At 44.8% G+C, this 23,244-nt stretch overlaps 1 protein-coding gene, 1 long non-coding RNA gene and 1 other non-coding gene across 3 annotated transcripts in view, besides 1 other annotated feature; 1 reads left to right on the forward strand and 2 right to left on the reverse strand.

Annotated features, from left to right (window-relative positions):
* LINC01562 (long intergenic non-protein coding RNA 1562) overlaps positions 1 to 19,196 on the reverse strand; it is a 40,002-nt gene extending 20,806 nt beyond the window's left edge. The window contains exon 1 of the long non-coding RNA NR_147076.1: positions 19,065 to 19,196. This is a non-coding gene — a long non-coding RNA (long intergenic non-protein coding RNA 1562). The remainder of the gene's footprint in view (positions 1 to 19,064) is intronic.
* Positions 15,353 to 15,456, reverse strand: LOC124904818 (small nucleolar RNA U13). The gene has a single exon (XR_007067414.1). It is a non-coding gene; the product is annotated as a small nucleolar RNA U13 (small nucleolar RNA).
* Positions 20,158 to 20,637: a silencer, noted in NCBI's record as "silent region_873". NCBI's record gives its function as "represses an Ori minimal core promoter by ATAC-STARR-seq in GM12878 lymphoblastoid cells {active_cell/tissue: GM12878}" and the evidence as "EXISTENCE:reporter gene assay evidence [ECO:0000049][PMID:35858748]".
* The window catches only part of RNF11 (ring finger protein 11), a 37,175-nt gene continuing 34,303 nt past the window's right edge, over positions 20,373 to 23,244 (forward strand). The window contains exon 1 of the mRNA NM_014372.5: positions 20,373 to 20,979. Coding sequence (NP_055187.1) covers positions 20,857 to 20,979 — 123 coding nt within the window. The 5' untranslated portion in view covers positions 20,373 to 20,856. The remainder of the gene's footprint in view (positions 20,980 to 23,244) is intronic.

Here is a 23,244-nt window from a genome sequence, read left to right on the forward strand (position 1 = left end):
TTGATTAAGAAAAACAGAAAAACAACTTCAGTGGCTCTCACAGCCTACTGGATCAAGTACAAACTCCTTTGTCTAGTATTCAAGGTCCTCCATTAACTGGCCCCAAACTACCTCCCAACACACACACACATACACACACACACACACACACACGTTCTTTCTCTAAATTTCAGCTTCCCTGAATGTTATTCTTAGAACACAGTGAACTTTCATTTCATCAAATATTTGTATGTGTTTTTCTCTCTAAAATGCCCTTTGGCCTACCAGTCTTCTCTTTCTCTTTTTTTTTTTTTTTTTTGAGACAGGTCTCACTCTGTCACCCAGGATGGAGTGCAGTGGTGCCATCTCGGCTCCCTGGAACCTCCGCCTCCCAGATTCAAGCAATTCTCCCACCTCAGCCTCCCAAGTAGCTGAGAGTACAGGTACACACCACCATGCCTGGCTAATTTTTGTATTTTTTTTTAGCAGAGTCAGGGTTTCGCCATGTTGGCCAGTCTGGTGTTGAACTCTTGCCCTCAAGTGATCCGCCAGCCTCAGCCTCTCAAAGTGCTGGGATTACAGGCGTGAGCCACTGCGCCTGGCCCAAGTCTTCTCTTTTTAAGACCCAGTTTAGGCTGGGCACTAATATAAAAATTAGCCAGGCGTGGTGGCCCGCGCCTGCAGTCCCAGCTACTCCGGAGATTGAGGCGGGGGGATAGCTTGAACCTGGGAGGTGGAGGTTGCAGTGAGCGGAGATCGCACCACTGCACTTCAGTCTGGGCGACAGAGTGAGACCTGTCTCAAAAAAAAAAAAAAAAAGACTCGGTTTATTTTACTGCAGTTTCAGAGTGAGAAAAAAGAAAAAGAAAAAGATCCAGTTTAAATGTTGCTCCTAATGGTTAAAATCATGATGTCTGTTCCACCTGGGTCCAATCCAGGATTACTTAATGGGTGACCTTGAGCAAGTTACCTAAACTCTCTTTCCTTTAGCTTCCTCATTTATATAATGTGGGAAATAATAGTAACTACTTCTTAGAGTTGTAGGTCATAAACCAAATAATACATGTAAAACATTTAGAACAATGCCGGGCATCTGATTAGAGCTCAATGAATGTTAGCTCTGATTTAAAATAATGATAAATTAATAATGAATAAAGAAATAATACATAAATGTCCTATTTCCTGAGAAGATTTTCTTATTTATCCAAAGAAATATAATCATTTCTATCACAATACATTCACAGTTTATACTGCTTATAACATTTATTTTCACATCTCTTCATACAATTTCTGGAAGATAGAATGTGTTAAAAAAATTATTTGTTTAAAATGAGGTCATATTTACTATTCAAGGTTGTTTTTTTTTTTCTTTCTTTAGAGATAAGGTCTCACTGTGTCAGCCAGGCTGGAATGCAGTGACATGATCATAGCTCACAGTAGCCTCAAGCTCCTAGGCTCCAGCAATCCTCCTACCCTAGCCTCCCGAGCTGCTAGGCAGGTGTATGCACCACACTGGATTTTTTTTTTTTTTTTCTAGAGACAGAGTCTCACTATGTTGACCAGGCTGGTCTCAATCTTCGGGCCCCAAGTGATCCTCCCATCTTGGCCTCCCAAAGTGTTGAAATTATAAGCATGAGCCACCATGCCTGGCCAAGTTTTTTTTTTTTTTTTTGAGAGGGAGTCTCGCTCTGTCATCCCCCAGGCTGGAGTGCAGAGGCACAATCTCAGCTCACTGCAACCTCTGACTCCCAGGTCGAAGCGATCCTTCTGCCTTAGCCTCCTGAGTAGCTGGGATTACAGGCACCTGCCACCATGCCTGGCTAATTTTTGTATTGTTAGTAGAGACAGGGTTTCACCATGTTGGCCAGGCTGGTCACAAACTCTTGACCTCAAGTGATCCACCCACCTTGGCCTCCCAAAGTGCTGGGATACAGGGTGAGCCCGGCCTCTGGCCAAGTTTTTTTTTTTTTTTTTTTTTTTTTTGAGACGGAGTCTCGCTCTGTCACCCAGGCTGGAGTGCAGTGGTGCGATCTTGGCTCACTGCAAACTCCACCTCCCAGGTTCACGCCATTCTCCTGCCTCAGCCTCCTGAGTAGCTGGGACTACAGGCGCCCGCCACTATGCCCGGCTAATTTTTTTGAATTTTTTTAGTAGAGATGGGATTTCACCATTTATTTATATTTATTTATATTATTATAATATTTATTTATATTAAATAAATAAAATAAAATATTTATTGCTTTTTTTTCTTTTTTTTTTTAAACAGGGTCTCATTCTTTTGCTCAGGCTGGAGTGCAGTGGCTTGATCTCGGCTCACTGCAACCTCTGCCTCCCAGTCTCAAGCAATCCTCCCACCTTAGCCTTCTAAGCAGCTGGGGCTACAGATGTGCACTACCACGCCCAGCTAGCTTTTGTATATTTTGTAGAGATGGGGTTTCGCCATCTTGCCCAGGCTGGTCTCAAACTCCTGGTCCACCTGCCTCAGCCTCCCAAAGTGCTGGGATTACAGGAATGCGCCACCACGCCCAGCCTGCGTACCTAATTATATAAATTGTGTGTTCCTCTGGTAATCCAACAAATGTCTACATGCCATCAGAAGCAGCCCAACCTACTTCAACTAGTCTTCATCGGAACTGAAAATCAGAGCTATAAAGGCCTTTAGAGTTCACCTAACCTAGCCTAACACTGCTGAAGTTGGGGAAATAGTTCTAGAGAGGAGACACTGACCCAAAGTCATGGAGTATTTCAGTCATCCACTGCTATGTAACAAACTACCCCAAAGCTTAGTGGCTTAACCCAACAACCATTTTATTATTTCTCATAATTGTGTGGGTCAGGTATTCAGTCAGGGCTAGGCAGGTCACTTCTGCTGTTCCACATGAAGTCAGTTGGGGTCACTGCATGGTATTCACTCACATGCCTTGAGCCTTCACTCATATTCCTTAAGCCTTGGCAGGAGTGGCTGGAAAGCTGGCTTCATTTAGGCCCCTCTATCTCTCCGTGTAGTTTTAATATGATCTCTCCAGCCAAATACGTGGTGGGCTCCAAGGGACAGTGTTCCCAAGAGGCAGGAAATAGTAGTTACCAGTCTGAATTTCCTGGGCTTGGAAAGTAGCACAGTGTCACTTCTGCAGTATTCTATTGGTCAAAGCAATCGCAGAGGCCACCCAGACTCAAGAGGAGGCACTCCTTGATACTCTTACCCACCTGTCAATGGTAAGAGTAATTAAGAATTTACAACCATCTTTAATCTGTAACAGTCGGCCCTCGGGCCACAAATTATTTACATTCCTCGCACATGCAAAATATATTCAGATCTTCAAAGGACCTACCCAGCAAAATTCAGCACATTACAGCGTCAGACTCAGGATCAAGGTCCATGATCTCATCATCTGAATAAGTTCCAGATGTGGAGGTGGGCTCCTCAGCTGTAGTTCCTAGGGTGTAGCTTTTCAACCTGAAGACTTGTGAACTAAAGAGATAAGTTATCTGCTATCTGCTCCTTATATAACCAGCTATAATGGTGATAGAGGCATAAGAACTGCAATAGACACTTCTGTTCAAAAGAGGTGGTAGCCTGGCATGGTGGCTCATGCCTGTAATCCCAAGACTTTTTTTTTTTTTTTTTTTTGAGATGGAGTCTTGCTCTGTCACCTAGGTTGGAGTACAGTGGTGAGATCTTGGCTCACTGCAACCTTCACCTCCTGGGTTCAAGCGATTCTCCTGCCTCAGCCTCCCAAGTAGCTGGGATTACAGGCGCCTGTCACCGTGCCCCGCTAATTTTTTGTATTTTTGTTAGAGACGGGGTTTTGCCATGTTGGCCAGGCTGGTCTGGAACTCCTGACCTCAGGTGATCTACCCACCTCAGCCTCCCAAAGTGCTAGGATTACAGGTGTGAGCCACCGCACCCGGCCTGTAATCCCAACACTTTGGAGGCTGAGGAGGGAGGATCCCTTGAGCCTAGGAGTTCGAGACCAGCCCGGATAACATGGGGAGACTCCATCTCTACCAAAAAAAAAAAAAAAAGAAAAAAAAATTAGGCCAGGTGCAGTGGCTCACGCCTGTAATCCTAGCACTTTGGGAGGCCGAGGCAGGCAGATCACCAGGTCAGGAGATGGAGACCATCCTGGCTAACACAGTGAAACCCCATCTCTACTAAAAATACAAAAAATTAGCTGGGTGTGGTGGCATGCGCCTGTAGTCCCAGCAACTCAGGAGGCTGAGGCAGGAGAATCACTTGAACCCAGAAGGTGGAGGTTTCAGTGAGCCAAGATTGCGCCACTGCACTCCAGCCTGGGTGACAGAGCAAAACTCCATCTCAAAAAAAAAAAAAGAAAAAAATTAGCTGGGCATAGTGGCATGTATCTGTGGTCGCAGCTACTTGGGGCAGAGGTGGGGCGTACATCAGGAGGATCTCTTAAGTCCAGGAAGTGAAGGCTGTAGTGGGTTGTGACTGTGCCACTGTGCCCCAGCCTAGGTGACAGAGCAAGACCCTGTCTCAAAAAACAAAAACAATAAACAAAAGAGGTGGTGGTGGGGAACAAAAGCACATAGCAGTCACTGGTGCATAGAAATTCTGAAATCTAGCTAGGCATATTTTGCCAGTTCTGCTCCCTACAGATGATTCTCTGTGAATTTTGATTCTGCCCTCTGAGTCATCCTTCCTTTTCCATAAGAAATAGCCCATTTTCGTAGCTGAGCAGTTTTCTTAGTCTGCTTTCTGCCCTACTAGGCCGGAGGGGGAGAAAGGGGGGATCTAAAGACCTCTTCATTTTGTACTATCTCAGTAGGTTTCAGGCCAAGCTAATGTAATCTTTCTAAAATTTGGGGAGTTTCCCATATGTCAAGTTACACTTCACTCCATTAGCAAAGCACCACACCCACAAATGTCTTTCAAATAGCCTTTCTCTACCTTGGGCCTCCTGTAAAGCTGCTGCGGCACCACAGCAGTAAGACTGAGAAACTCAATTGTTTAGCACAGAAGGTCTATAAGGCACAAAATTAAGTTCCTTATAATTTTTTCCTTAGAAATGATTTTGAAAGTATCTATGAGACACTGCCTTAAATCTTTCTGATCTCTTAACAAAAGGTTTTACGTTGCGTGCCTGACTTGTCTTTGCCCTGTGATATCATTTTACTGGCAACACCATGGTCTTAATTGTTACCCTAAGGCCATTTCTTCCTTTTTTTTTTTTTTTGGAAGCCAGAGCGTCTCAACCTGTCACCCAGGCTGGAGTGCAGTAGTGCAATCTCAGCTCACTGCAATCTCCAACACTAGGGTTCAAACAATTCTCATGCCTCAGCCTCCCAGGTCGCTGGGACTACAGGCTCACGCCACCACACTCGGCTAATTTTTTGTATTTTAGTAGAGACATGGTTTCACCAGGTTGCCCAGGTTGGTCTTAAACTCCTGGCCTCAAGTGATCCACCCGCCTCAGCCTCCCAAAGTGCTAGGATTACAGGTGTGAGCCACTGCGCCTGGCTCCTTTGAGATTCTTATTCGAACTAGAAATATTACCCTGGGCCCTTCTCATATCTCATCATAGCCAACTAGGAAAAGACAGATGACACTGTACTTTCTGCCTGGAATCTCCCCAGCCAGATCCATAAGTTCATTAGGTACCTTTCTATTTTCCATGTTACCTCAAGGGACAGCGTTGCCAAACTTTCCTCCAGCTTCCAATAACAAGTACTCACCAACAATCTCCTCTAGGCCTTTCCAGCATGCAGTAATAGACTCCTCAAGACCCTTCAAATCTCCACCCATTGCTCAGTCCCAAAGCCAATGCCATATATTTTGGGTTGTTATGAAACCACCATTGCAAAATTGTAACTGAGACGGTGAAAGAGATCTGACCTAACCAACTCCATCTTGCTTCTAACCTTCAAGCAAGATGGAGTTGGTTAGGTCAGATCTCCAAGTTATTCATTCCTGGGCATAGGCTGAACTAATTTTGGGAGGAACTTAGTTTATAGTTTTGTTTTGTTTTGTTTTGTTTGAGACAGAGTCTCACTCTGTCACCCAGGCTAGAGTGCAGTGGCGCAATCTCATCTCACTGCAACCTCTGCCTCCAAGTTTCAAGCAATTCTCCCTGCCTCAGCCTCCCAAGTAGCTGGGATTACAGCTGCCCGCCACCACGCCTGGCTAATTTTTGTATTTTTAGTAGAGGCGAAGTTTCACCATGTTGGCCAGGCTGGTCTCAAACTCCTGACCTCAAGTGATCCACCCACCTCAGCCTCCCAAAGTGCTGGGATTACAGGCATAAACCACTGCGCCTGGCCATAGTTTATAGTTTAAAACAAAGATGATAACAGCCCTTTGCCAAAGCAAACTTCCTTCTTGTCTGGGGACTAGACTGCCTTTGTAGGACTAACAGATTAACCGCAAGATTACAAATTATGGTTTAGGAGTCCTGCAGCTGGAAGCTACAAGATTCTGACCCTCCCTAAACTGTTCCTAAAACAGTGCTTGAGATATTTTGCACACCCTGCACTTGATGGATCAGCTGACACCACCTGGATTGATAAAATGGCTCATATGATCTTGTGGCCCCCAACCAGGAACTGACTCAGTGCAAGAAGACAGCTTCACTCCTTATGATTTCATCTCTGACCAGACCAATCAGCACTCCCGGCTCACTGGCTTCCCCCCACCCACTAAGTTGTTCTTAAAAACTGATCCCTGAATGCCTGGGGAGACTGATTTGAGTAATAATAAAACTCCAGTCTTCCGCACAGCCGACTCTGTGTGAATTATTCTTTCTCTATTGCAATTCCTCTGTCTTGATAAATTGGCTCTGTCTAGGCAGCGGGCAAGGTGAACCCATTGGGTGGTTACAGTTACAGAAGCACCCCATTTCCAGGTATCAAATTCTGTTCCAGATATCAGTTGTTGTATAATAAACTATCCCCAAACTTAGTTGCTTTATTTTAAGAAATGTATTATTTCTCTCAATTCTGTGGGCCAATATTAGGGGTGAGGCTTGGATTGCCAATTCTTCTGCCCCACTGGGAATTAACTGGGGTCAGTTGATGATATTCAGCTAGCAGTTGGGACAGTCCGGAGGTTCCAAGACTGCTCTGCTTCCATAATTGACATATTGGCAAGGACAATTGAAAGGCTGACTCAGCAGGGCCCTTCACCCTCTCATGAAGGCTAGGCTCAGGCAGGTCCTTCTAGTCTCAATGCCTATCCATGAGGTCTCTCCAGAAGAAATGTCAGATATCTTACATGACACCTAAGGACCCCAAGAAGCAGTGTTCCGGGAAATAGGACGTGGAAGCTTTTAGTCTTTTAAGGTCTGGGCTTGGAAACTGAAACAGCATCATTTCTACCATATTTTATTCATCAAAGGAGTTACAGAGTCTGCTCAGATTCAAGGGGAAAAGATAACTAGCTGGGATAGCCCACAGTCTAATAAGGTGAGTAGATATCTTGAAAGATAATGCTAGATGCTAATAGAGACGTGTACCAAATGCTGGCAGAACACAGGACTAGGAAATATCTATAGTGGGGAAAAGGGAGGATCAGGGTGGGCTTCCCAGAGAAATGACTATAGTGTTGAGTTTTAAAAGATGAAGAACACTGGGTGTGGTGGCTAATGCCTGTAATCCCAGCACTTTGGGAGGCTGAGGCAGCCAGATCACTTGGGCTCAGGAGTTTGAGACCAGCCTGGCTAACATGGCGAAACCCTGTCTCTACAAAAAATACAGAAGTTGCCCAGTGTTCTGTTACCTATTGTTCAAACACTAAGCAAATCATTCTGCTTCTCTGTACTTTTCTTTCCCTGAAAGCTCCAAGGACTGTCCCTTCCCATCTTGGAATACAGGGCCCCATTTGTCAAAAATAAGCTTGACAAACAATATTCTATCCATAATTTTGCCCTCATTTTTCTAATTTTTTTCATTGCACAAACTGTTTTGAAACAATAATATTAACGAGAAAGAGAATATTGTTGACAATCCTCTCCTATTGAACCATTTTGATTTTTCTGTATTACCTTGGTGACCATTGTCTCCAAGTTCCAAAATTCTAGTCTCTGTCAACATGTCATTTTTTCATCGTTTTAATGAGAGAACACATTTCATCGTATTTTCTGTATTTTAACTAAATATTGTATCCCAATAAAGTTTTATGTTTCATTCATGCATATAGCCAACAACTATACAGTTCCTACAATGTGCTAAACTTTTTTTTTTTTTTTGAGACAGGGTCTATAGAAGTTCATCATTAACAGAAAAAATAAAATAAAGGGACAGGGTCTCTCTCTGTTGCCCAGGCTGGAGTGCAGTGGCATGATCACGGCTCACTGTAGCCTCAATCTCTCAGGTTCAAACTCTAGGGCTCAAACAATCCACCTGTTTCAGCCTCCAGCATGGCTGGGACCACAAGCACGTGCCACCACGCTCCGCTAGTTTTTTTTATTATTATTATTTGTAGAGACAGGGTCTCCCTGTGTTGCCCAGGCTGGTCTCCAATTCCTGGACTCAAGCTATCCTTCTGGCTTGGCCTCCTAAAGTGCTGAGATTATAGGCGTGAGTCACTGTGCCCGGCCTTTTTTGTTTTTGTTTTTTGATAGGATCTCACTCTGTTGCCCAGGCTGGAGTGCAAGATCACAGCTCACTGCAGCCTTGAACTCCTGGGTTCAGGCGATTCTCCTACTTCAGTCTCCTGAGTAGCTGGGATTACAGGTGTGAGCTGCTGTGCCCAGCTTAGACTATTTTAGATGCTGAGGATTGCTAGTAGTGAGTAAGAGAAGGCCCTTGCCCTGTAAGCTTAATTCCAGTGGAAGAGACATGCAATGAACCATTCATAATAGTAAAATGTCACATGTTATCAAGAAAAACAAAGCAAGGTAAGAGAATAGAGAATAGAGACTGACATTGTGAAGTATGACCATTTCAGAAAATAACCTCATGGAGTGAATATATGATTACTGTACTTAATCACTTCTCTATGATTGAATAGATTATTATTTTTGAGATTGTCTTCAGTGAACATCTATATATATAATTATACATATTTTTCCTTGTTTTATTTTTATTTTAAAATTTTAAAATTTTATCCCATGTGGGAAGCCGAAGATGAAAAATAATTAAAATTTTCCCCCAGGGAAAGGACCACAGGCAGTTTTAGCTCCTGATTTTTACTGCAGAATACTGTAATCACCATAATTAATATTTTAGGTGTCTAAATGTTACCAAGAATTTAGATATGTTCTATGTGTAGTTTTCCAGTGTATCATGACATTTCTGTCTACTATACCTTCACCCAAGCTCTTCTCTCTCCTTAAGTCATCCGTCTACAGTCAGTCCCACCCCACCCAGCTGCTCTTCCTCCTCCTTCTCATACAAAACTTGAGTGTCATCTCCTCCAAGAAGACTTTTCAACTCCTGTAGACCAATGTTTCTCAAACCTTTTTTTTTTTGAGACGGGGTCTCGCCCAGGCTGGAGTGCAGTGGTGTGATCTTGGCTCACTACAACCTCTGCCTCCTGGGTTCAAGCGATTCTCCTGCCTCAGCCTCCCAAGTAGCTGGGATTACATGCCCATGCCACCATGCCTGGCTGATTTTTGTATTTTAGTAGAGATGGGGTTTCACCATGTTGGCCAGGCTGGTCAAGTGATCCACCCTCCTCGGCCTTCCAAAGTACTGGAATTACAGGCATGAGCCACAGCACCTGGCACTTTTTTTTTTTTTTCTGAGACAGAATCTCGCTCCGTAGCCCAGGCTGAAGTGCAGTGGCATGATCTTGGCTTACTGCAACCTCCATCTCCTGGGTTCAAGTGATTCTCATGCCTCAGCCTCCCAAGTAGCTGAGACCACAGGCAAGCCCCACCATACCCAGCTAATTTTTGTATTTTTGGTAGAGACAATATTTCACCATGTTGGCCAGGCTGGTCTCAAACTCCTGGCCTCAACTGATCCTCCTGCCTCAGCCTCCTAAAGTGCTGGGATTACAGGCATGAGCCACCATTCCCGGCCATTCTTTTTTTTTTTTTTTTTAAGACAGGATCTCATTCTGTCAGGCTGGAGTGCAGTGGCCCCATCATAGTTCACTGCAGCCTCAACCTCCTGGACTTAAGCTCAACTCCCAATGTGTTGAGATTATAGGCATGAACCACCATGCTTAGCCTCTGAAACCTTAATGTGCATACAAATCACCTGAGGATCATGGTAAAATGTATATTCTCATTTAGTCAGTCTCAGGTGGGACCTGAGAGTTTGCAGTTCTAACAAGCTCATAGGATATTCAAATTAGTGCTGATCAACAGAGCATCCTTTGAGTAAGAAGGCCCTAGAATGGCAACTCTCAAACTTTCCATTTTTGGATTAAAAAGTATTGAGTTCCTTCTTTTCCCATATGCAAAAGAAAAGAATAAGAAAATGTTTTCAGAGAGAGACAAAAAAGAAAAATATTGAGAGGCCAGGCTTGGTAGCTCACGCCTGTAATCCCAGCACTTTGGAAGGCTGAGGCAGGAGGATCACTTGAGCCTAGGAGTTCAAGACCAGCCTGGGCAATATAGTGAGACACTGTCTCTACAAAAAAAATAGCTGGGCATGGTGGCATGTGCCTGTAGTCTCAGCTACTCAGGAGGCTGAGGCAGGAGGATAGCTTGAGCTAGGAGGTCAAGGCTGCAGTGAGCTGTGATCATGCCACTATACTCCAGCCTGGGTGACAGAGCCAGCTCAAGCCCCTGCCTGTAAAACAGTTAAATAAAATCTATCAATATTTATCATATTAGAAATCAAAATGAGAAATATAAAGAATATTTATTTAATTTGTTTAAAAGTAATAAATTAAGCCCAATAAATGTTAAGATAAATAACATGTTTATGAAAAATAGCTATATTTTCCAAAACAAAAAAAGTTCTACATTTCTGCAATATCACTTTAATATCTGGTTCATTTTCTTGGAGAAATATGCCAGCAAAAAATATGTAATAATAGGCCGGGTGTGGTAGCTCACACCTGTAATCCCAGCACTTTGGGAGGCTGAGGTGGGCAGATCACTTGAGGTCAGGAGTTTGAGACCAGCCTGGCCAACATGATGAAACCCCATCTCTACTAAAAATACAAGGAATCCAAGGGAAGTTGATCTGATGTGGAAAGATATAATGTTACTGCTAGATCAGACACTAACCCCAAATGAGAGAAGTGCCACCATAACTGCAGCCTGAGAGTTTGGCGACCTCCAGTATCTCAGTCAGGTCAATGATAGGATGACAATAGAGGAAAAAGCAACTAAGTCAAAAAGCGAAAAGGGAGCTTACTAACTCAAAAATCTTAAAGTATGGGGCTATTCTGTTAGAAAAAGGTGATTTAACACTAACCACTGAAAATTCCCTTAACCCAGCAGATTTCCTAACAGGGGATTTAAATCTTAATTACCATACAAAGGTCCGACCAGACCTAAGAGTAACTCTCTTCCGGACAGGACGGACTGATGGCTCCTCCCAAGCGATTGAGGAGAAAAAAACACAATGGGTATTCAGTAATTGATAGGGAAACTCTCGTAGAAGCAGAGTTAGAAAATTTGCCTAATAATTGGTCTGCTCAAACGTGCGGAGCTGTTTGCACTCAGCCAAGCCTTAAAGTACTTATAGAATCAAAAATCTCTATCTCAATCCTGACTCAAAAGGTTACCTACAACGTCTCTGAAATGAATTTGCATAAGAACTGTTGTTTATGGGAATGCATCTTGATGGGGCAGCTGGGTTGTTATGAAATACTCAGGAACCCAGCCCAGCTCTAGGACTCACCCCTGAGCACAAAGGCAATGTTGGGCACGCTGGTAAAGGATCACTAGAATCCAGCAGCCTGGACCTTTCTTTGTGGTCAAGAAAGGCAGGAAAACAGGTGCAAGACTTCTACATCGGTAAGCGTAACTAATCCGATAAGCAGAGGTCCATGGGTTGTTATGCATCCTGGAAAGGAATAAGCATTAGGACCATAGAGGACGCTCTAGGACTAAAGCGCATCAGAAAATGACTAGGGGTGCTGGCATCCCTATGTTCTTTTTTCAGATGGGAAACATTCCCCCCAAGGCAAAAACGCCCCTAAGATGTATTCTGGAGAGTTCAGCCCAGTCAGAGTGCGTGCACCTTTTTCTCTCTCAGACTTAAAGCAAATTAAAATAGACTTAGGTAAATTCTCAGATAACCTTGAGAATTAAGTTAGGACAATCCTTTGATCTGACATGGAGAGATATAATGTCACTGCTAGATCAGACACTAACCTCAAATGGGAGAAGTGCCGCCATAACTGCAGCCTGAGAGTTTGGCGATCTCTGGTGTCTCAGTCAGGTCAATGATAGGATGACAACGGAGGAAAAAGAACAATTCCCCACAGCCCAGCAGGCAGTTCCCAGTGTAGACACTCATTGAGACACAGAATCAGAACACAGAGATTGGTGCCGCAGACATTTGCTAACTTGTGTGCTAAAAGGACAGGAAAACTAGGAAGAAGCCTATAAATTATTCAATGATGTCCACTATAACACAGGGAAAGGAAGAAAATCCTACTGCCTTTCTGGAGAGACTAAGGGAGGCGTTGAGGAAACATAGCTCTCTGTCACCTGACTCTATTGAAGGCCAACTAATCTTAAAGGATAAGTTTATCACTCAGTCAGCTGCAGATATTAGGAAAAAAAACTTCAAAAGTCTGCCTTAGGCCCGGAGCAAAACTTAGAAACCCTATTGAACTGGGCAACCTCGGTTTTTTATAATAGAGATCAGGAGGAGCAGGTGGAACGGGACAAACGGGATTAAAAAAAGGCCACCGCTTTAGTCATGGCCCTCAGGCAAGCAGACTTTGGAGGCTCTGGAAACGGGAAAAGCTGGGCAAATCGAATGCCTAATAGGGCTTGCTTCCAGTGTGGTCTACGAGGACACTTTAAAAAAGATTGTCCAAGTAGAAATAAGCCGCCCCCTCGTCCATGCCCCTTATGTCAAGGGAATCACTGGAAGGCCCACTGCCCCAGGGGACGAAGGTCCTCTGAGTCAGAAGCCACTAACCAGATGATCCAGCAGCAGGACTGAGGGTGCCCAGGGCAAGTGCCAGCCCATGCCATCACCCTCACAGAGCCCTGGGTATGCTTGACCATTGAGGGCCAGGAGGTTAACTGTCTCCTGGACACTGGCGGCCTTCTCAGTCTTACTCTCCTGTCCCAGACAACTGTCCTCCAGATCTGTCACTATCCGAGGAGTCCTAGGACAGCCAGTCACTAGATACTTCTCACAGCCACTAAGTTGTGACTGGGGAATTTTACTCTTTTCATATGCCTTTCTAATTATGCCTGAAAGCCCCACTCCTTTGATAGGGAGAGATATCCTAGCAAAAGCAGGGGCTATCATACACTAGAATTAGGAGAAGGAAAAAGGGTAAATATATATACAGACTCTAAGTATGCTTACCTAGTCCTCCATGCCCACGCAGCAATATGGACAGAAAAGGAATTCCTAACTTCCGAGGGAGCACCTATCAAATATCCGGAAGCCATTAGGAGATTATTATTGGCTGTACAGAAACCTAAAGAGGTGGCAGTCTTACACTGCTGGGGTCATCAGAAAGGAAAGGAAAGGAAAGGGAAATAGAAGGGAACCGCCAAATGGATATTGAAGCCAAAAGAGCCACAAGGCGGGACCCTCCATTAGAAATGCTTATAGAAGGACCCCTAGTGTGGGGTAACCCCCTCCAGGAAACCAAGCCCCAGTACTCAGCAGAAGAAATAGAATGGGGAACCTCACGAGGACATAGTTTTCTCCCCTCAGGATGGCTAGCCACCAAAGAAGGAAAAATACTTTTGCCTGCAGCTAACCAATGGAAATTACTTAAAATCCTTCACCAAACCTTTCACTCTGGCATTGGTAGCACCCATCAGATGGCCAAATTATTATTTACTGGACCAGGCCTTTTCAAAACTATCAAGCAGATAGTCAGGGCCTGTGAAGTGTGCCAAAGAAATAATCCCCTGCACTTCAGGCCATACATTTCAATCCCTGTATCTTTAACCTCCTTGTTAGGTTTGTCTCTTCCAGAATCGAAGCTGTAAACTACAAATGGTTCTTCAAATGGAGCCCCAGATGCAGCCCATGACTAAGATCTACTGGGGTCCCCTGGACTGGCCTGCTAGCCCATGCTCCGATGTTGATGACATCGAAGGCAACCCTCCAGAGGAAATCTCAACTGCACAACCCCTACTTCACCCCAATTCAGCAGTAAGCAGTTAGAGTGATCGTCGGCCAACCTCCGCAACAGCACTTGGGTTTTCCTGTTGAGAGGGGGAACTGAAAGACAGGACTAGCTGGATTTCCTAGGCCAACTAATAATTCCTAAGCCCAGCTGCGAAAGGTGACTGCACCTACCTTTAAACACGGGGCTAGTAACTCAGCTCACACCCAACTAATCAGGTAGTAAAGAGGGCTCACTAAAATAAAAATTAGGCTAAAGCAGGAGGTAAAGAAATAGTCAAATCATATATTGCCTGAGAGCACAGAGGGAGGGACAATGATCCGGATATAAACCCAGGCATTCAAGCAGGGAGTGGCAACCCCCTTTGAGTCCCCTCCCATTATATGGGAGCTCTGTTTTCACTCTGTTAAATCTTGCAACTACAAAAATAATAATAATAATAAATAAATTATATTTTATAATTAAGTCACACTCTTTGGTCTAAGGACACTTCCCAAGGGCTCCTTTCCAAAACCAGGTTAGGAAGAAGATCACTGAATAGCTACTTCCTTACACGTGAATATACATTTATGCCAAAGGCATTCAAGATAAGCCTTCTCCCCTTCCCTTTATCTGTGAATAGCTGTGTGACATCAGGCAAGTTACTTAATCTCTTTGAAGCCATATTTGTATTTCTGTAAAAGATGACTGTCACTATACCTTCCAGGTCTCTTTATTTGTCCAGTTCTGTCTAATAAATGGCAGTTATGATTATACACACTAACAACTGTGGCTGGGCACTTTGGGAGGCTGGGATTGCAGGTGTGAGTCACCATGCCTGGCTCTACACAAATTTTAAAAATTAGCCAGGTGTGGTGGTGCATGCCTGTGGTCCCAGCCACGTGGGAGGAAGATGCGGGAGGATAGCTTGAGCCCAGGAGTTCGATGTTGCGGTGAGCTATGATCTTTCCACTGCACTCCAGCCTGGGTGATGGAGGGAGACCCTGTCTCTAAAAATAAATAAATAAATAAATAAATAAGAAAAAAAGTGTTAAAATATTCATATATGATTAGCAGTAGGCATACATAATACAATACAATGATAGATGCCTTTTTTTTTATCATTGCCTATATTCCAACTGAATGAGATCAGAGACAGCCTCATGAAGAAAGTGGTATTTCAGGATAATTTTTTTTTCATGTCAGACCCATAATGTGCTGACGTTGCAACAAGGTTCCAGGGTGGCACATCTCACACATGCACGTGAATACCGAGTCATCATGCTTATGAATTACAAAAGAATCTGAGAATCTTCAAAGATGCTTGATTTCAACAGAAGGGAACAGCATGGCAAAAGTTAGAGGATAGAGGTGGAAAGGCATACTGAAAGTCAAGGCTATGGAAAGCACTGTGATGTGGCTGGAATGTAGGATGCCAGGTTGGAATTGGAGTCACTTGGTTAAGTGTAGACAGTCAACGAAACAATTAATCAAGTCCTGTAACATTTGCTGATTTCCAAGGTATAAATACTCTCACCATGGGCAATTTCAAGCTACCAATCTGGCATCATTAAACACAGAATTAGGGAGAGATGTTCAGCGGCTTGTCATTATAAAGTATTTCTACCACAGAGATACACTAGAAGGAAATAACCTCAATAACACAGATAATAGTGAAATACAGTAAAGTAGTTAGAAAGCCACTCGTTTTGGGTATTTATTATGTTTGTTTTTAATATACCTTTTAACTGTAAGTTTATATAATTTAATTTTTAATAATGACTATGTTTAACAACAAGGTCACACAATTCCTGAAATTCTAACAATTGACTCATATGAGCTAGTATGAACCAACTCTAGCACATCTGTTTATATCTTACATCATTTGTAATATGGGGATATCAGTAGTGTCCATTTCATAGAGTTTTGAGGGTTGAATGAATTACCAGAGAGGGCAAATAAAACACATGCTGTCTAACAGAGAGTGTTTTATAAGAGTTTGCTATGATGGCTATTATTCAACTTGGGCCAAAGACAATGTTATTTTCACATCTGATTAGCTTGTGAGTATCCAAAAGAGCCATGCTGTGTTAGGCCCTAGTCACTCTGCAGATCATTTAATTAGCATTAAATGAACAGAAGTAAAGCATTTGGGACAGTGCCTGACACATAGGAAGCACTACATAAGTGATAGATACAATTTTATTCTGGTAGTTTTATTCATTATTATCAAGACCACATGGCCGGGCATGGTGGCTCATGCCTGAAATCCCTGAACTTTGGGAGGCCAAGGCAGGTGGATCATTTGAGGTCAGGAGTTCGAGACCAGCCTGACCAACATGGTGAAACACCATCTTGATTAAAAATACAAAAAGTTAACTGGGCATGGTGGACCCCGGCTATAATTCCAGCTATTCAGGAGGCTGAGGCACGAGAATCACTTGAACCCAGGAGGTGGAGGTTGCAGTGAGCCAATTGTGCCACTGCACTGCAGCCTGTGTGATAGAGTGAGACTCCGTTTCAAAAAAAACAAAAACAAAACAAAACAAAATTCTATCGTTTTTTTAAACTATGTTAAAATTGTAGCTGATATTTTACTCATCCACAAAAAAATAATGGTCAATAACCATTCATCTTTTCTAAAATATCATTTCCTCTGAGCTCAGGGGAATATGCAACAGTTATTCTCTCACCAGACACAGAGGTCTAAAGCTGTACCTTTGTGAGGTAGTGATATATATATGCTCATGGAAGCAAAAGTTAAAAATAAAAGTAGAACAAATATAAAGGTCTGAATGTAGCCCTGCTAACTGTTCACCTACTTGTCTCATCTACTTGAGTTTGAGCTATTTGAAGGCAGGGACCATGTCCAAGCCATTAATGGGCTTCAAATGCTCCTCCCATCTTCTGGTGAACAACTAGCCTTGTTTGTTTGTTTGTTTACTGAGACGGAGTCTCACTCTGTTATCCAGGCTGGAGTGCAATGGCGTGATCTCGGCTCACTGCAACCTCCGCCTCTCAGGTTCAAGTGATTCTCCTGCCTCAGCCTCCTGAGGAGCTGGGATTACAGGTGCATGCCACCATGCCCGGCTAATTTTTGTATTTTTAGTAGAGATGGGGTTTCGCCACATTGGCCAGGCTGGTTTTGAACTCCTGACCTCGTGATCCACCCGCCTCGGCCTCCCAAAGTGCTGAGATTACAGGCGTAAGCCACTGCACCCAGCCCAAGCTAGTTTTAAACTTAACAATATAACTTATTTTCACAAGGCACTATAGAACTTTTCAAGGGCTTGTGTCAGTGTTACCCACCTGTGGAAAAAAAGAATGAAAAACAAAACTTAAAAAAATAAATCTGGCCTGGCGAGCTGGCTCACGCCTATAATCCCAGCACTTTGAGAGGCCAAGGTGGGTGGATCACCTGAGGTCAGGAGTTCGAGACCAGCCTGGCCAACATAGTGAAACCCCGTCTTTACTAAAAATACAAAAAATTAGTTGGGCGTGGTGGTGCGCGCCTGTAATCCCAGCTATTCAGGAGGCTGAGGCAGGAGAATTGCTTGAACCGGGGAAGTAGAGGTTGCGGTAAGCCAAGATCGCACCATTGCACTCTAGCCTGGGCAACACAAGCAAAACTCTGTCTCAAAAAATAAAAATTAAAAAAAATTAAAACTAACTAAATAAATCTATGTCTGGCCAGGCATACAGTGGCTCACACCTGTAATTCCAGCACTTTGGGAGGCTGAGGCGGGAGGATCGCTTGCGCCCAGGAGTTTGAGACCAGCCTGGGCAACATGGCAAGACTTCGTCTCTACCAAAAACAAAAACAAATGCAAGGCATGGTGGTGTGCATCTGTAGTTCTAGTTACTGGAGAGGCCTGAAGCAGGAGGATCACCTGAGCCCAGGAGGTTGAAGCTGCAGTGAGCCTCGATCAAGCCAGCCTGGGTGACAGAGTGAGACCCTGTCTCCAAAACAAACAAACAATGTCTACAAATTCTAGCACTGTGTAAATATTATGTCAAATAATTGTATAAATTATTATTAATAAAAATTTCTTTAGGTTTGACAATAATTTGTGGGGTAAATTTTCTCACTTTGTAAAAATTCCAGGGTACCTCTGATTTCTGGTAAATTTAGCCAATCATAAATTAAATGAGTTCTTGGAAGCTCAACAATTCCAAAACCAAAATTGTGAGTCAGTTTGTTCTTTCTTTCCTTCTTTCCTTTCTTTTTCTTTTTCTTTCTTTCTTTCTTTCTTTCTTTTCTTTCTTTCTTTCTTTTCTTTCTCTTTTCTCTTTCTCTTTCTCTCCCTTCCTTCTTTCCTTCCTTCCTGCCTCCCTTCTCTCTCTCTCTCTTTCTCCTTCCTTTTTTTTTTGAGACTGAGTCTTACTCACTCCCTCGCCCACGCTAGAGTGCAGTGGCACAATCTGGGCTCACTGCGCTGCAACTTCCACCTCCCAGGTTCAAGCGGTTTTCCTGCCTCACCCTCCCGAGTAGCTGGGACTACAGGCGTGCACCAGCACACCTGGCTAGTTTTTGTATTTTTAGTAGAGATGGGGTTTCACCATGTTGGCCAGGCTACTCTCGAATCCCTGACCTCAAGTGATCCACCCGCCTTGACCTCCCAAATTGCTGGGATTACAGACGTAAGCCACCACGCCTGGCCCAAAATTATGAGTCTTTTCAAAAATTTTATATCAAAAAGGTGATATTTAATGTGGAATTTGAGTGCATTTAAATAAGATAGTGACTTCGTAGAATAGGGACTGCAGAGTAAGAGTGTTCAGACCCATTCGAGTTTAATATAGCCCTACCTCTAAGAATCCTTTCTGTTCCTCACTCAAATGAACTAATTGCTGTCTTTCAGTTCCTCTAAAAACCTTGGGGTCCGTGGCAGGGTGTGGGCTTAGGACTCACCTGATTACTTGTCTTCCCAGGTGGTCTCTGGGCTCTATCAGGAACAAGCCAGGTATGATCATCCTTTTCCCCAGTCCTTAGCGTGGGGTCTGGTATACACACGCACACACAACTTCAGTAAATGGTGAATGAAACGAAAGGCAGTCAAGATCCACCTGTTGAATGAACGTCTATCAGGAGCACTGTCATCCTTCTTGCTTCCTTCTTTTGCATATGTTGTTTGAGCTGCTCATTCAACCAAGGAGAGAGCATACTCTACCTTGGGCAGTGTGCCAGCCTTGCACAGAGGGACAGATGATTCAGCTTGATCAGGCTGTGACAGAGAAAAGCTCAGGGTCTGAGAGCACACAGGATGCGACTAACCCAGACTGGAGGGTCAGGAGAGTCTCCCCAGGGGAAATGAAGTTGCATCCAGAAGGATTCCTGAGAATAATGATTAGCCTGATGAGAAGCAGAAAGGTTGGGAGTGGAGGGAAGTGGGTTTCTGTGAGAGAAACAATATGGACAAAGGCCCCAGGCAGAGGCAATAGTATTCCAGATAACGAAAAGCATTTTAGAGAGTCTAGTTTAGAATTTGTGAAGGAGGTGACAATGCTGCTAATGAGATTGAAAGGGAGTCAGATTTGTAAACCATTTAAGGATTGTCTTAAGGACAGCCTTGAGGAGACACTGAAGGTTTTAACAGGAGAATGACATGATCCGATTTAAATTTTAAAAAGATAACTCTGTCAACTGTGCCAACAGTGAATTGGATGTGGGCAATGATGAACTCAGGAACAGCTGAGAGTCTATTGCAGAAGCCAAGGTGAGAGATGATGGTGGCTTGGACTTTGGTGCTGGGACTGGAAAGAAATGAACAATCTGATATACAACTGGAAGAATAATCTCTCTGGCTGTGATGTGGAAGGATAAGGACGTGATTGGACAGGCAGGGATGGTTCAGTAACGAGCTAGGACTTTATTGTGAAGGGATAAAGGGGAAGCTTTTAACATTTTAATCATGGGACTGATCCATTCCGATATGGGTTTATATAAATAGACCGCTTGGCGGAGGGTGGTGAGAAGACTGTCAGGCAGTGCACAGGTAAGAACTGAGCCCTAGACGGGGCAGGAGCAATGAATGTGGGGAGGCGCGGGAGACGGGAGATTGGTTTCGGAGCCAGGTACGGAGCCAAGCAGTCAGAGAGAAGCAAAAATTGACGCAGCACCGAGAACAGCTGCTAGTGGAGAGGGGGATGGGCGCCGCCGGAGCCGCCCTCGCCTCCTGGCGCCGGGGGCGGGACCAGAGCACGCACGGCGCGATGACGCAGTGCCCGAGCCGGCCTCGTTCTGGCTGCCGCCGTCTCGCTGAGGCGGAGTAGGATGAGGCCCGCGGCCGTGGCTCCGGCGTCGGCGGGGGCAGCAGCAGCTGAGGCAGCAGCTGAGGCAGCCGCGACGGCCGCGCCCCCCCCCGCTGACCTGGATTAGGCCCAGCAGCTCCGTGGCCGCCGCCGCCCCGCGGGGGGGCGGGGTGGGGAAGTGCTTCGTCTCCCCGCCCCCCCCCCCCCATCGCTGCCTCGCAGGAGGCGAACGCCGCGACCCCAGCGGAGCCCGCGGCCCAGCCTTGATCCCCCAACCCCGGGGGCTGGCATGAGCGGCCCCTCGGCGGCACCGTGGGGCGGTGGAGTCGCCTCCGCCTGATCCCCGGCCTGTCGCCCGACCCCACCTCGCCAACCGAGGCGGACCGCGGAGTGTGCGAACGACCCCACCGCTGCTTTCTCCTCCCCCAGATCACGCACCCCAGCTCCGGAAGATGGGGAACTGCCTCAAATCCCCCACCTCGGATGACATCTCCCTGCTTCACGAGTCTCAGTCCGACCGGGCTAGCTTTGGCGAGGGGACGGAGCCGGATCAGGAGCCGCCGCCGCCATATCAGGTAGGGGAGGGTGTGTGTTGGGGGGAGCGAGTAGAGGCAGCTCTGGCGGAGATTGAGGGGGCTTCGGGGCCGTCTCTGCCCCTGGCTTCGGCAAGGCCTGGCCTGGGCGGCATTGACCCCTTAGGGCTGGATCTGAGGGCATTTGCTCTCTGATCTCAGAGTAAGGTTGATTCTTCGCCTGCCCTCGGGCACCGTGTGGGGATGATACCCTCTGCCCTTGAGTTCTGGGATCAGAGTATGTGATCACATCCCCTTGGCCAGTGTCTGGTGGTTCGCTTGTGGAGTTTGGGAGTGACATTTTCCTGTCTTTATGTCTGAATCGTATGATTTCCTCATCGCACCGCCAACTGGATTATGGGTTCTGGATAGGTGGTTGCCAAGCACCACCCCCCCGCCCCATTTATGTTTTCATGTGTGGTCGTCCTCTTACCCACCTCCCTCGTCTTTTTGTTAATTGGATCTGGCAGGTTTTCCCTCTGCTTGGGAGACGGATCTCCAAGTGGTGATTTTAACCCTAGCGACATCGAGTTACTTGTGTGTGTGTGTATATATATATATATGTGTATATATATATATATATATATGTATATAAATTTTAATCCCTCCTCTTTTTGCTCCACCCATATGACACACCTTTTAAACGTGCTGACTTAAGAAAACTTGATTAGCTTGAACTTTGGAAACCTTTAAACCTGGCTTGGGAAATTCCTTCGGTTACTCGTGTTCTCCCTTTGTATCAAAGACTCTCCTAAATACGTTGTACTGCTTTTTGTACAATAATCAGTAGTCCCAGATGTGTTGCAGAATTCGAGTGAAGACCTCTTAAACTCAAAATAGGTATGTGGATGTTATAATCCACAATAGATGTGTGAAAACCTTTCCTGTACTTTTTCCATTTTAGATGATATTGAATACACCCTTTTCCAGAGGGCTTCAATAGTAGTAGTGCTTAATTTCTTCCTGAAGAGTTTAGTTTTCTGACTGGGTAGGCTCCTTTGTTGTTTCATGTGATGACATCATTATCTAGTGTTTTCTTTTCTCATTCCTGTGTAAACCAATGTCTCATCACACCAGAAAAACCTGATCATATATATGCTCGTTTTCTGAATAAAATTCTTCTGGGGGCATTTCATATATACCAGTAAGGTCCAGTCTTGATTGTGGTATTACAGAAGCCTCCATGACTTCTCCCTCTTACGTTCTATATTCCAGGCCTACCAAATACACCAGGCTGTTCACAGCTTTGTTTTGCTCCAGTTCCTCTCTGCTTGGAGCCCTTCGCCCGGGTCAGCCAGGTGGACATCTAATCCTCTTTGAGAACTCAGCTTTCATGTCTGAAGTCCCAGCATTCCCTTCCTTCCCAGCCCGAATCCCTTGTGTCCCCACTGAAACCTCTACACTTCCATAAGCAATATCTATAACACTTTAGTGTTGTATCTTTGTTAGATGTGTGTCTCATCCTTGTAATCGCCTCCTTCAGTGCAAGCTGCGTGAAGGTAGAGAATCTGTGTTTCCGGTTTGCTGTTGTATCCCTCGCATCTGCCTCAGTAGGGACTCAGTAACTGGGAGATAAATTACGAGTAAAAGCCCTTGAGAACAGGGACTCTCCCCTCGCTCAGTTTCTGGCACATAAGCACCTAAATGCTGAATTAATTAATGAAGTTGAATTTAGTATTTTCTGTATTTACACAAATATTTTTTCCAAAGTAAGTTGTCACAGGGTAGTCTCTTAAAAATCAAAGCTGAATCTGGGTGTCTTTACAAGTACCTTTGAGTGAAGCAAGCAAGCTATGTTTATCCTTCACTGTCTTTCCCTCCTATGTTTACTATACAACAAAAGTGCTTATTTAACTTTTTTTTTTTAATGAGATGGAGTCTCGCTCTGTCACCCCGGCTGGAGTGCAGTGGCACAATCTCACTGCTTACTGCAACCTCCACCTCCCGGGTTCTAGCGATTCTCCTGCCTCAGCCTCCTGAGTAGCTGGGATTACAGGCGCGTGCCACCACACCTAGCTAATTTTTGTATTTTTAGTAAAGACGGGGTTTCACCATGTTGGTCAGGCTGGTCTTGAACTCCTGACCTCAAGCAGTCCACCCACCTCAGTCTCCCAAAGTGCTAGGATTACAGGCATGAGCCACCGCATCTGGCATGAAGTTTTTATTTTAAAATCTCTTATGCTCCCTACCCTCACCCCCTTCTATTTTTAAAAAAATAGAGACAGGGACTCCTATGTTGCCTAGGCTGGTCTTGAACTCCTGGCCTCA

The sequence above is a fragment of the Homo sapiens genome, chromosome 1, assembly GCF_000001405.40.
Source record: "Homo sapiens chromosome 1, GRCh38.p14 Primary Assembly".
Taxonomy (NCBI): Eukaryota; Metazoa; Chordata; class Mammalia; order Primates; family Hominidae; genus Homo; species Homo sapiens.